The sequence below is a fragment of the Homo sapiens genome, chromosome 20 (assembly GCF_000001405.40).
Source record: "Homo sapiens chromosome 20, GRCh38.p14 Primary Assembly".
Classification (NCBI taxonomy): domain Eukaryota; kingdom Metazoa; phylum Chordata; class Mammalia; order Primates; family Hominidae; genus Homo; species Homo sapiens.
Window position 1 is genome coordinate 9,549,074 of NC_000020.11, and position 13,265 is coordinate 9,562,338.

General features: G+C 41.7%; 1 protein-coding gene across 7 annotated transcripts in view; it reads right to left on the reverse strand.

The window, feature by feature from the left end:
- The window catches only part of PAK5 (p21 (RAC1) activated kinase 5), a 301,707-nt gene that overhangs the window by 11,704 nt on the left and 276,738 nt on the right, over nucleotides 1-13,265 (reverse strand). For all 7 annotated transcript variants that reach the window (NM_177990.4, NM_020341.5, XM_017027960.2 and 4 more), the window contains one exon: nucleotides 8,535-8,661. In NM_177990.4, coding sequence (NP_817127.1) covers nucleotides 8,535-8,661 — 127 coding nt within the window. The remainder of the gene's footprint in view (nucleotides 1-8,534; nucleotides 8,662-13,265) is intronic.

The following is a 13,265-nucleotide window of genomic DNA, read 5'->3' on the forward strand; positions in this document are numbered from 1 at the left end:
ATAATCCATGGTGCCCTATTATAAGAGGAGTCGATAATGCACAGAAGTAAAAATCCTACAGTCCACCCCTTGTAGTCTGGGATAATTTGCAGAAGGAGAGAAAGAGGAGTGATGTTGACTATGTCAGGTCCCGGCCTCCTTATGATATATCACTTTTTTTCACTCCAAGCAGATGGTGGTGGGCTTTGGAAATATCTGTGTTGCATACATCCCCATACAAATAAGGGAGAGGAGAAGCCCCACAAGCATGTGTTCAGAGGTAATATTCAAAATATTCAATAACCAGATTAACGTAGGCCAATTGGAACCTAGATAGAAAGTCAAGCAAAGTCCTAGAGTTACCCTGGGAAGGATTACCATTTTTAATGAGGTGAGGAGGGTCTTGGGAAGGGGCTGGAGTGATGGGGGATAGCCTAAGGACTTAAAGCAGTGGCTCTCAACCAACTAGCATGAAAATCTTGCAATATTTTAAAAACAGGTGTAGACATGCTGGTAAAACTGATTGAACACCAGCCTTGGCCATACCCCGTGTGAAAGGAAAATAAAAACTCAGGACGCCAATTCATTCTGCCAAGAGGAAAAATTGAACTAAACGCTGAGTCCTGCAAGAAGCTACCTTCTGTTTTGTTCCTAATTAGACAGCTACAGGTCATAGGTAAATACCTCCATAGGTAGTGACTCTATGTTCACATCATATTCTGTAAAGTGCCGATTTGCTGAGCATGAGATCAATACATAATTGACAGTTCTCCTACCTGCTCCTTTTCTCTTGCAACAAGTGGATGACCATACCCTCCCTCTTTCCCCTCCAGCTCACTTTTCCCCTTTCCCTCAAACTAACCTTTGGAGAAAGGCACAGACCACAGACAGTTTCTATGAATCCATGTTTTTCATTTCTTCTTCTTCTGGACATGTCCTTAACCTTGGTAAAATAAACTTCTAAATTGATTGACACCTGTCTCAGATACTGTTTCGTTTTACACCAGCATGTAAAATGTACTCCATGGAGACACGGCGCTATAGTGTGGGTGGAAGTGAGCTTGTGGCAATGCTACTGTCTTCCATGGCCTGTGTGGGATGTGCAGGGGTTCGGAAGTTCCTCCAAATCTCAGTGAGGGAATGGGGAAGGGTCTGGCACAAGCCTGTGATTGGGACAAGGAGGCAGCCTGTAGGGCACCTTTTCACCCGTGAGTGAAGAGGCTGCAACTGTGATGTACAGCAGAGGTGAGCCCCTGGACAGCCCAGCCACCAGTAGGACCAGTCAATCTTGCTACCTGGTCACCAGTCCAGGTAGCAGGAGAGTCCAATGAAAGCAAGGCAGGGAGGAGAAAGGAACAAGAAGATGCTTCTTATCTCCTTCACCCTGAGGTCCCACGAGCCATGCTTGTCTTTCCTCCCACACTCCATCTTGGGAATAAGTGAAGGTGGAGAGGAGAGGAGGGAGTAGGTGGTGGTTAAATCTGAAAGACTGGGTTTATAAAGGTATCATTTATACCTCATAATAATGTAGTTGACTTTGATAGACAATGTTCAAATCATTCAAGCCAACTAAATTTAATGCATTGAATTAAAATAGATATTTTTAAAAAGAATCTAGCCAGTAGGACTCTGTGAAGAAGTCTGGGTTAGTTTTAGGAAGCATAGAAACCATAATTGTGGTGTGTGTGTGTGTGTGTGTGTGTGTGTGTTTATTTCCAAAACTAGGGTGTAAGTAAATTTGCAACCCCAATACACAGAGAGTAGAGGAGGAACAAACGTTCCAGTTTTGTTTGCCTATAAATTTAAGAAACCTGAATGGTTAAGGAGGTGAATGTATCAGCATTTTGCTATTGGCAGTTTTAAATTTCAGTATATCTAGTGTGGGTTTCTCTTTGCTGGCAGGAAAAATGCCCAAACCCCTCAAAATCTGGCATCCTAATAACCATCTCCCTGACAAAATGTGAGATGAGCAATTGAAACTCGACACTTGGAAGTGAGGCCTGTTCTGCTGCTGTAGGAGTATAAGTGCTTTTGCATGATACTTTAATCATCCAAGTACATAAAAGGGACAATTTTCTAAAAGAACATAATTGCACACAACATTTGTCCAAATAAATCTGCAAGTAGATAATGAGAACTCAAGTAATGAGTACAATAAAGCACTGTAGGCAGATCTTAAAAGCAAATCACATAGACGCTAAGCTGAGCCTTACTTTGGGTAGAATTGTGCAACTGGGCTGCTTAGGAAACCACCTTCGTCTCACTAATGCAGTTAGGCTAAGAGAACTACCACTAGTATGTTGTCCGCCCCCTAAAAGGAGAAAATGTAGCTTGTTACACAAGGACCACACAAGGAACTTTAGTTTAGAACTCAGACAAAGCTGCAATTTAAACATGAGATCCTATCCATCTCTCACGTGTCCTGGCCAGGAATCAGGGTTCCCACAAAAGAATGGTGGAGGGTTGGGGGCTAGTGAGAGTGGGCAAAAGAGAGTCTATCCACAGGGCAGCTACAGGTTTAAAGATAGAATGTAAAAACCCTTGCTCTGTAAACTGCATGCACTCTAAAGAATTCTGTGTCTGCTCTAGGGTCTTGGCTAATGCAAAAGGGGGCTACTTGTGTGCCTAGTTTCTGGGTGCTTCTTTGTAAGGCAATGGCACTCAGTGTACAATGTATGTAGCATCAGCCTCACCTGAGAGCCTGTTAGAAATGCAGCTTCCTGGGTACCACGTAGCCTGAGTGAACCAGAATCTCTGGGGTTGGGGCCCAGGAATCTGTTTCTTGTCAAGCTTTCCAGTGGGTTCTGATGCTCAGTAAAGTTAGAGAACGTTATGGAAAAAGCAGATAACAGTGGCCAGAAAAAGAAGTCTTCAGGCATAAAGATGCAGATGGTGGCATTTGGAGGTGAAACTAATGATCACTGAAATAGGAAGTTGCAGGAAGATCTGGGCAGGGCACCAACGGCATTTGCTGTGGTACAACTCACCCTCCTTATACCACTTCCCTTATCATGATGTGTGAATCCAGGCACAGTGTTGCCAGACCCTTTGATTTTTCAAGGAAGACAGGAATCTGACATTTTATATGACATCTTCCAAGTTTTGATTTGTGGCAATCAATTTATAGTAAAAAGAAAAAGAGATCACAAAGACCACTTGTGTGTGTCTCTTTTCCATAAACTTATTGGACTTAGCGGGTCATGGGTTTGAATTCCGGCCAATGAATTTGTCAAAGTCAGTCACTCACTGCTCACTGGCCCCTAAGTAATTCATTTATCAAATGTTGGCCCTAGGCCAAGGAAAGGTCATGATGATTCTACACAACACTTAATTACAAGGGCAGAGGAAATGCCTTCTGACTTAGCATCTACCTTGTCCCTGGTATACTTCTGAAGGTTTTACACACATTACATTATTCATTCCTAAGCCACTCTGTGAGATACTATTTATTTTCCTCTTTCAAATCCCAAACACCACATTCTCCCTTCTTAACACAAATTAGTGACTCGTTAGATATTACTTATGCCATAGATAATAATTGAATGATTTACTTTTAGTTGATAAAAGATAATTTATCTAGTCTTTTGAGAGGACAGAAAGCATTCATTCTTTCAAACCTGAGCAATTCTCGGTCATTTTTCCTAACTTTAAAAAATTTTTAAAATTTTTTAGTTTTTTTTTTTTTTGGCGACAGGGTCTCACTTTATCACTCAGGCTGGAGTGTAGTGGTATGATCTTGGCTCACTGCAGCCTTAAACTCTAGGGCCCAAGCAGTCCTCCTGCCTCAGCCTCCAGGGTGCTAGGACTACAGACAAATGCCACCATATCCAGCTAATTTTTTAGTTTTCTGGTAGAGATGAGATGGGACTTCAATATGTTTCCCAGGTTGGTCTTGAACTACTGGGCTCAAGCAATCCTCTTGTCTCAGCCTCCCAAAGTGCTGAGATTACAGATGTGAGCCACCACGCCCTGCCAACTTTTTAATTTTTAAATAATGATAAATCCACAGGAAGTTGCAACGTGCACCCGTCTCTCCCTAGTATTCGCATCTTACACGGCTACAGTACAATATCAACACTTGTAAATTGATTAGGTCTAATTTATAGAACGTATTCAAATTTCATCAGTTACAAATGAACTCATTGTGTGTGTAGTGTATATAAGTATACTCTGAAATTGTATCATGTGTTGCCAACTAGTCAGCTAACCAAGGGAAGGCTAGTTACCCGGTGAGTTACTACGGTGGGCAACTAGAGCTTGATCCTGCTGAAGAAGTCTGGGAGACTGTGTAGAACAGTGCAAAAGTCATTGTGGTTTTTGCCACTAAAAGTAATGGCAATTACTTTTGCACCAACCTATTATAACCACCACCAAAATCAAGATACCCAACTGTACCATCAGCACAGGACTTCCTGGTGCTGTTCTTTACAGACACATTCCCACAGCCCCAAAACCCTGCCAACCACTCATCTGCTGTGCATTTCTATAATTATGTTATTTCATGAGTGTGTGTGTGTGTGTATATATATAAATATATGGAATCATATAGTGTGTATCCTTTTGAGATTGGTGTTTTCTCACTCAGTATAACTTCCCTGAGGTTCACCCAAGTTCTCGTGTGTATCAATTGTTTGTTTTTATTGTTAAGTGGTATTCCATGACATGGATATATTAATACTATTTGTTTAATCATTCGCCCTTTGAAGGACATTTAGGTAGTTTCCACTTTGGAACTATTATAAAGAAAACTGCTATAAACATTTGTGTACATGTTTCTGTGGGAAAATAAGTTTCCATTTCTCTGGATAAATGCCTCAGAGTGCAAGTGATGGTCGTATGGTAAGTCCATTTTTAATTTTGAAAAAGAACTGCCAAAGTATTTTCTTGAGTGGCTGTGCCATTTTAAGTTCCTATGAGCAGTGTATGAATAAGTGTTGTTATCACTATTTTTCATTTTAGTCATTCTTAAATGTGTGCAGTGATAGCTCATTGTAGTTTTAATGTGCATTTCTCAAAGGCCAATGATGTTGAACATCTTCAAACAGGAAGAGAACCCAATATCTCTTGTGTGGCAGACAGTATTTTCCAAAAATGCCAACAATAATTTTGCCTATCCCATGAGCTCTTCTTACAATATGACTTAATTTTTCTCACACTGAGGAGGACTCTAAACCCCTGCCCCCTGAATCTGGAAGGGCTTGTGACCATGGTGAAAGTAATGTTATTTGATTCTGAGGCTAGGTTATAAAAATGCCATGCACTTCCACCTCGTTTTCTTGGGACGCACTCTTGGGACCCAGTTGCCATGCCATGAGGAAGCTCAAGCCACATGGGGAGGCCACCTATTTTGTAGGTGATCTGGTGGCAGCTCCAGCTAGCCTGCCTGGACTGACTACCTGACATGTGAGTGAGGATGACTTCCAGATAACTCTGGCCCCAGGCATTATCTAACCACAAGTCAGAGCAGCACTGTTTTGCTGAGCTATAAGAGACAATACTAAAATGACTGTTGACTTAAGACTCTAAATGTTGAGATGCTTCGTTATAACAGCAATAGATAATTGAAAAAGTCTTCTCCACTATATAATGTTGTACACTAATAGACTCATATAATAACACACTCTAAGCCTTTTCTTGGAGTAGCCACACTCCATTTCTGCTCTCTTTTAAAAGAAAAGTTTCCTTTTCCTACAGATACTGGAGAAACCACTGGAGTCAATATGATGCACTGTTCTGAACATGAATGAGTAAACTCTGGACAAAATGGCCAAGAGGCACAAGATCCACTCAATATGCTCTTGCTTCCTCTGCCTGGAATGCTCCTGTTTCTGGCAGCCACAGGGTCCAGTCCCCCATGTCTCTGCTGTAACGCCACCACATCAGAGGGATCTTCTGACCAGCCTCCATAAGACAGTACCCATCACTTCCATCACTCCCCATTCTCCTTACCATGCCTAAATTAATCCTAGGAAACTTAGTATTTATCACCCCTTGTTTGGTGGGGATTTTGTTTGTTTATTTATCTATTTGTTTATTATCACATTCCCAGTCCCCAAATAAGCTTACTAGAGGAAGTGATTTTGCTTTGTTCATCCCTAGGATTTAGAACTGTCTGTTACACGTAGCAGACATTCAGCAAATGTTCAGTAAATGAATGAGAGAACAAACCAATAAGGACTAAAAGCATCTACAATGTGTCTATTTATGTGAGCTCTTTACAGGGTGCACAGGGATGCAGGAGGTGTTTGAGACAAAGGTTCTGCTCTTGAGAATGACAACTCAATGATTTAAAAATCTTGCACATTGAGGGGAGGGGAGATCTTTAAGTAATTTGATTAAACAATGACTTCTTAGTCTCATTTCTGATTTTGATACTGGATATGATCTTACAGCAAGGAAGCCTGTACCATAAATTTCTAGAAACAGGGAAAGAAAGTCTTTCTTGAAATTGCTCTGCTAGACCAGTTTAATGCTTTGCAAATTGCATTCTGACACCGTGGAGCCTTGCGTAGGTGCTTTCCGGAGTCAGGCCAGGGAGGATTCTTGACCTTTTCTCATAGCTGTCCACTCATATGGAAGATTAAGAAAAAATGCATACACAGTCTTCTTCTACCTGTATCCACATCCCTTTGCAATGTGACTTGGCATCTTCTCCTATCAAGAGGCAGAGTTTATATCCCTACTCCTTGAGTCTGGTCTTGAATATTTAGTAAATATAATATAAGCACAGGATTTGAAAGGGCCTACACATCAGGGCTTGCCTCCTTTGGTGCTCTTGGGAACTTTGCTACAGGTATCATGTGAGTAAGTCCAGGTGACTCGGAGATGAGTGATACTTGGCCCTGTTACCTGCACTGTCCCTGCTGAGAGCCAGCTGACTGCCAAGCAAATGAGTAAGGCTATCACCATAGGCTGATCACAACTGCAAGAGGGAGCTCAGCTGATGTCACATGATGCAGAGATGAGCTGGTACAGAGATGAGTTGTCCCAGAGGAGTCAGCACAAATACTGGCTCAGAGATAAGTCAGCAAATAAATGGTGGTTGTTTTAAGCCACTAACTGTTGAGTGGATGTAGCAAAACCTGACTGATACATGCTTCTACTGTACCGTTCTTTCTTAAGAGAAGCAATGCAATGGTTAAAGCAATGCAAAAAGCAGGACTTAAAACTCCTCATTAAACACATTCCCAAGTTTGCAAATTGTGTATACATGTACATGGAAATACGGGAAAAATCGGTAATGGGATTAGGAGTGATCTTTGTCTTATCCTCTATACTTTTCTGAGTTTACTACATTTTCTACAATAATATTTACAATCTTTTTAAAACAACAAGAAAGAAAAGCCAAAGTGCTTGGACAGTTTCTTCTGGCTGCCCTCTGATCATTCCTGGGCAATTTCTGATATGACATGAACATTTTCCATGTGGCAGGGGTTGCAGGTGTAAAAGACAGGAACATCAAGGGAATGGTTGGCTCCATTCATGCCAAGGCCATTGCCTCTGGTGGGAGTTTCAGGGGGCTCCGGAGAGCCTAATGGTATAGAGCTATGCTTTGAAACTCTTCCATTTAACTAAGCCTTCCTTGGAATGTCAACTGGTTATTTCCTTGGCTGTTATATTCCATGCTCTGTGCCCTGGTGTGGCTGATGAGTTTCAGCAGAATCCCTTGCACAGGTTGCAGTGATGTGAAATACGGAAATCTGGGCCTAGAGGTTTGCCAGTGTGATAAATATCCTCTGTTTGTCCTACTGGATCCATTTTCCTCCCTCCTCCAAGCCTTAGGAAACCAACCTATATTGACTGCATTTTGGCTCCTAGCTGATTTCAGCCAATAGGGAGCACCAGTAGGACACTAGAAGGAAGAAGAGTGAGGTTGGAGGATTTATTCTCTCAGCTCTCATCCTGCAGGTTCACCTTGGTTTGGCTTCTACCAAAGATCAGAGCACCCTCCAGGCAGCTCCGAAATCTATAGCAATCTCCATTTCCAGATTCTAGTAGCCAGGACCTTGCCTCACCACTTCAGGCATGGGGTAGTAGGAGTAATGTTCCATTATAAAGTACTGCACTAATCCTCATACACTATTCCTTATGATTTTTCTACATCTGCCCACGCTTTTGTAAACTGTCCTTTATTACACCATCCTCAAATTACCCAAGTGGAGTTGATCATCTGTTACCTGCACGGGCTCTGGAAGGTAATGTGGACACATGTATTCATGTGAATAGGTTGGATGCACCCCTAGAAGAGTCAGCTCTTCTCCTCCAACAAAAAACAGATGTGGCAGAAAAGGAAAAGAAATAGCCATAGTTTCTATTACTTCCTATACTCATTGTTAAGGAGGCAAATTATCCATCAAAGTCAGGCAATTCTGACTAACAAGGTGACACAGAGGAAGGGATGGTAATTTCTTTTTTGTAAGTGTTCTGGGAAGAGAAGTAGGTGACTTGTGACTAAGAAAAATTAGAGTTATAAAAAAGTGTTTCTAAAAGAGTTATGCCCATGACAGACAGAGTGACAAGAAAAACTACGAACGGGCCAAACATGAACATCTTACCCGGCCATCGCTTGTCAGGAGGATGGAGTCACTTTTTATGTCCCTGTGAATCACTCCTTGGTTATGAAGGTAGGAGAGAGCTCTCAGAACTGACAGGCAGACAGTAGCTATCTGTTCTTCATTCATTCTGGAAAGGAAATAACATTTAAGGAACAAGACAGGTTTAAGAACATCTTTGAAATGCTCAAGAGAGGCAGCTCCCTTGTGCTTTAGTGAAACAGTCCACGTGCTCCAGCCCATATCTGAAAAACCTGCAGACAAGGGAAGGAAGTCTTTGGGATCTGACTCCCAGAAAAAAGGCTTGGCACTAAGAATGACAGGGACCAAATATAAGTCAAAGGAAAGAGATCACTATTTGTCAGCTTTTTGGTCATTCATGCAAATGCACTTCCAGGAACTCATTTATTTATTTATTTATTTATTTATTTATTTATTTATTCATTCATTCATTCATTCATTCATTCTTTGAGATGGAGTCCCGCTCTGTCACCCAGGCTGGAGTGCAGTCTTCCTTTTTTTTTGAGATGGTGTCTTGCTCTGTCACTTAGGCTAGAGTGCAGTGGCACAATCTCGGCTCACTGCAACCACCACCTCCTGGGTCCAAGTGATTCTCTCTGCCTCAGCCTCCCACGTAGCTGGGACTACAGGCGCCCATCATTATGCCCGGCTAATTTTTGTATTTTTAATAGAGATAGGGTTTCACCATATTGGCCAGCCTGGTCTTGAACTACTCCTGACCTCAGGTGATCCACCCGCCTCAGCCTCCCAAAGTGCTGGGATTACAGACAGGAGCCACTGTGCGGGGCTCCATGAACTCTTAACAGATAATTCCATAGGCATCAACAAGCCTCCAGGGTCCCACAGAGTCAGCACACTGAATAGGTAGATGAAGGTTTCAGGCGTGGCTGTTAAATGATCATAAGAAAATCCTTTAACTTCCTTGGGTCTTATTTTCTTCATCTTAGAAATGGGGACAGCCACAGTTTTCAAGGCTGAGCTCAGGCAAAGTGGTCTTTGCATCTCTAATCCTCCCTCTGGGACCCACCCTACTTCCCATTCACCCTCTCTCTTCTTCCTCCAAGGAGCTAGAGGTTTTTGTCGCTTCAGGTCCCTTCTCTCAAAAGGAAATTGGACCTAGGAAGTTACTAATAACAGAGTGTGAATGGATAGTATTTTAATAAATGGACCATGGGAATGAGAAACGAAGCAAAGCATTGGTTATGGCCTCCCATATCTCATGACTGCACCCCTGTGGAGAAAGTTTTTCCTTCTCCACAGTTTTAGAGGGGGAGGGGGAAGTCAGCTAACTGCCCAAGGTTGCGCAGCTAAGAAATGGCCAGGTCATGATTCAAACCCCACCTCTTTTTTAGTCCAGAACGCACGCTTTCCGACTTTCCCACTTTCCCATTTTCCCACACTGCCCTCACCACTTGAATGAATGGATTTTCCTAATGAGTGAAATAGTTCAGCCACAGAGGAATCTAGGTGAGAATTATTTGGATGGCACAGGTTGTTCAGTGCCCTCAAAATGACTCATTTAGGCAGCTGCCTAACTCATCTATGTGCAAAACTTCTTCCCTATCCCATGTTAAATAATAAATGTAAAAGAGGTCCTAAAGCGAACTATCATCCAAACAGAGGAGACTGTCAGGAGAGACAGAGGGTGTAAATGACCAGAGCCCAAATTTAAGGACAAACTTGTGAAACTCCAGTAATCCCAGGTAAATCTAAGGTCAGCAGAATAAGGAAATGAATGGCTTTGAATTTTCATTTCAGTTTAGTTGATGCTAGAAAATCCTGATGGGATTCAAAAGTAAGGTATAAAGTGGTAGCCAATTAGGAGAATACCAAAGGTATAAAGTTGATGAGTATGAAGAAACACACCCTTCCCCTCAAGGAGGATTTGGCCTTTGGGAGGCCAAGGTGGGAGGATTGCCTGAGGTCAGGAGTTCGAGACCAGCCTGGCCAACATGGTGAAACCCTGTCTCTACTAAATATACAAAAAATTAGCTGGGCATGGTGGCCGGCGCTCGTAATTCCAGCTACTCAGGAGGTTGAAACACGAGAATTGCTTGAACCTGGGAGGCAGAGGTTGCAGTGAGCGGAGATAGCGCCTCTGCATTCCAGCTAGGCGACAGAGTGAGGCTCTGTTTCAAAAAAAAAAAGAAAGCAAAAGAGGATTCCACAGCACCAGTCTCATACAAAGGCAGGTGACAAGAAATGTTTTTGCCTGAAACAGAGGAAGCCTACAACTTCTGTGTTCTGGGTTTTGTGGTATGTTGGTCATTATCCTGAATGGTTTTCACACGACCATTTTCACATGTGGAAAAACACATTCCTCAGAGGTTTACAGTATATGCAGCAGGGACAAGCTCACATATACCTTCAAATTAATTCAGAACCAAGAACCACCATCTTTAATAAAATTATTTTCTCTTGAATTCCGTGAAATTTGAGTTATCTGAAAGAGGTATAAAGATTCTTTACAGGTCGACTATATCAAAAATTACTTGAATCTAACCGCTAGTCACTAACAGAAAGATCCTATTTGACTGGAACACGTGACAAATACTTCCTAATCCAGTGTCTTTGAAATTAGCATGGCCAGCTGGAGAATCGTTGGTGCATTTCTTCTTCTACTTCTTTCCTATAGGAAAAAAGCTTGGCATGGAATAAAAAACCCTTCAGTTCTAGAGTAACCTCAAATTCAAATCCTGGCTGTATCAGTTATTAAATGTGTGGTCTTAAGAAGGATACCTTTTAAAATTTTGAGATAGAGTCTTGCTCTGTTGCCCAGGCTGGAGTGTAACGGCGCAATCAGAGCTCACTGCAGCCTTGAACTTCTGGGCTCAAGTGATCCTCCTGTCTTAGCCTCTCGAGTAGCTAGGACTACAGGGACATGCCACCACACTCAGCTAATTTTTAAATTTTTTTAATAGAGACAGGGTCTCGCTAAGTTGCCCAGGCCGGTCTCGAACTCCTGTGCTCACGTGATCCTCCTGCCTTGGTCTCCCAAAGTATTGAGATTACAGGCATAAGCCACCATGCCTGGCCAATAATATTTTTCCTGTTTGAATTGTAGCTTCATCACCTGGCAGACAGGTACATCAGCATCTGCCTCATAGAAATATGTGATGGTTACATGATTAACATATGAAGAGCTTGATGGTGCTTGGCACTTTCCCTTCCCTTCTATAACCCTCTGTTTCCTGGAAATTAGAAGGATCTGACGTAACAAGATGTTAAGTTAATGCTAACACTTCAGTATGTATAAGAAATACCTGAGTATTTGGGTACAGCATGGATTCTCATTTAGTTGGTCTGGGGTAGTACCTGAGATTCTGCATTTCTAACAAGCTCCCAGGTCCTCAGACAGCACTTGGAGTTGCAAGGGGTTAGATGTTTTATCAACCGATCAATAAATCATTCAGTAAAGCAGTTATTCAATATCTATTAAAGGAAGCTCTCTGAATTCTGAGTTTAAGATTTCGAATACCAAGTATTCATGGTGTTCCTTGACACACAATTTTGTTTTGCCTCTGGAGTTACTGGGTCTTTAAAAGGGAAATCAGTTGACAATCCTGGATGAGAAAATTAGAAAAGAAAATGGATTTTAGGGACAGACTGTCTTGAGTGGTTTCCATGGATACAAAATAAGAATGGAAAGGAACCTTGACAAAGGTAGAGCTGGAGACCTGAGTGGCTGTATGAAGCTCTGGAAGGCAACAAAAAGGTTTCTCCCCTGAATATATTTTTATTTTTTGCTTTATATGTGAAAAGCAAAAAATGTATATCACATTTGCCTTATGCTTAGATCTTTCCAGTATATTTGTTTCTACCAATTAAGATGATCTTATGTGTTTTTTTGTTGGGCATGTCTTATTGCTACAACATCAAGAGTCTGCCAGCTGAATTGTTGGTGATAAATGTCTTCACTCACAAAGCTTTATTTTGAGATAGCCTACTCCAGACCGAGAACTGTAGAGCCACGTAACATCTCATTTCAGTGGAGAAAAAACAGCATGTTTTATACTTCACAGGGTTTCCCAGTACTTTCTTGTTACCTTGTTTTCCACCAATTATGTACCTGGATCCACTTTTGATTCAGGTACCATTTCAATAACATCAGCTAACACTCAATACCTCTTCCTCATGACAATCCTTCCTTAACTTTTTGGCATTTTATTTACCATCAAAACCAAAGTTAAAGTTTCCCAAATGTAACATGCTATTTTGTATGTCTATTCCACAGAACCTTGCTTCTCCAAGTATGGTCCATGAACCAGCAGCATTGCCATTGCCTGAAAGTTTGCCGTAAATGCAGAATCTTACACCCTCTCTATTGAGTCAGGATATGCATTTTGATAAGATCCACAGTGATTTATGTGGACACTGAAATTGAAGAGGCACTGTCCTAGCACATATTCTTTCCTCTGCCTTCAATGCCCTTTTCCTCCTACTTGCCTTCTTAGTGAACTCCTATTCGCTCTCAAAATCCATCTCAGATGTCACCTTATATTAAATAGAAATATTTATTGACTCTTTCTGAGAGAGACATTTAGGTATTCTTCTATGCTACATATATATATCTTCTTAATTCTGCACAGGTATTATAATGTATTTCTCATCAGTGATGTCCCTGAGGGGATATATCTGAGCCACATTCATTTGTATCTTCTGCATCTCTACCACTTACAAAACAGCCTGGCACATAAAAGGTGCTCAATAAAT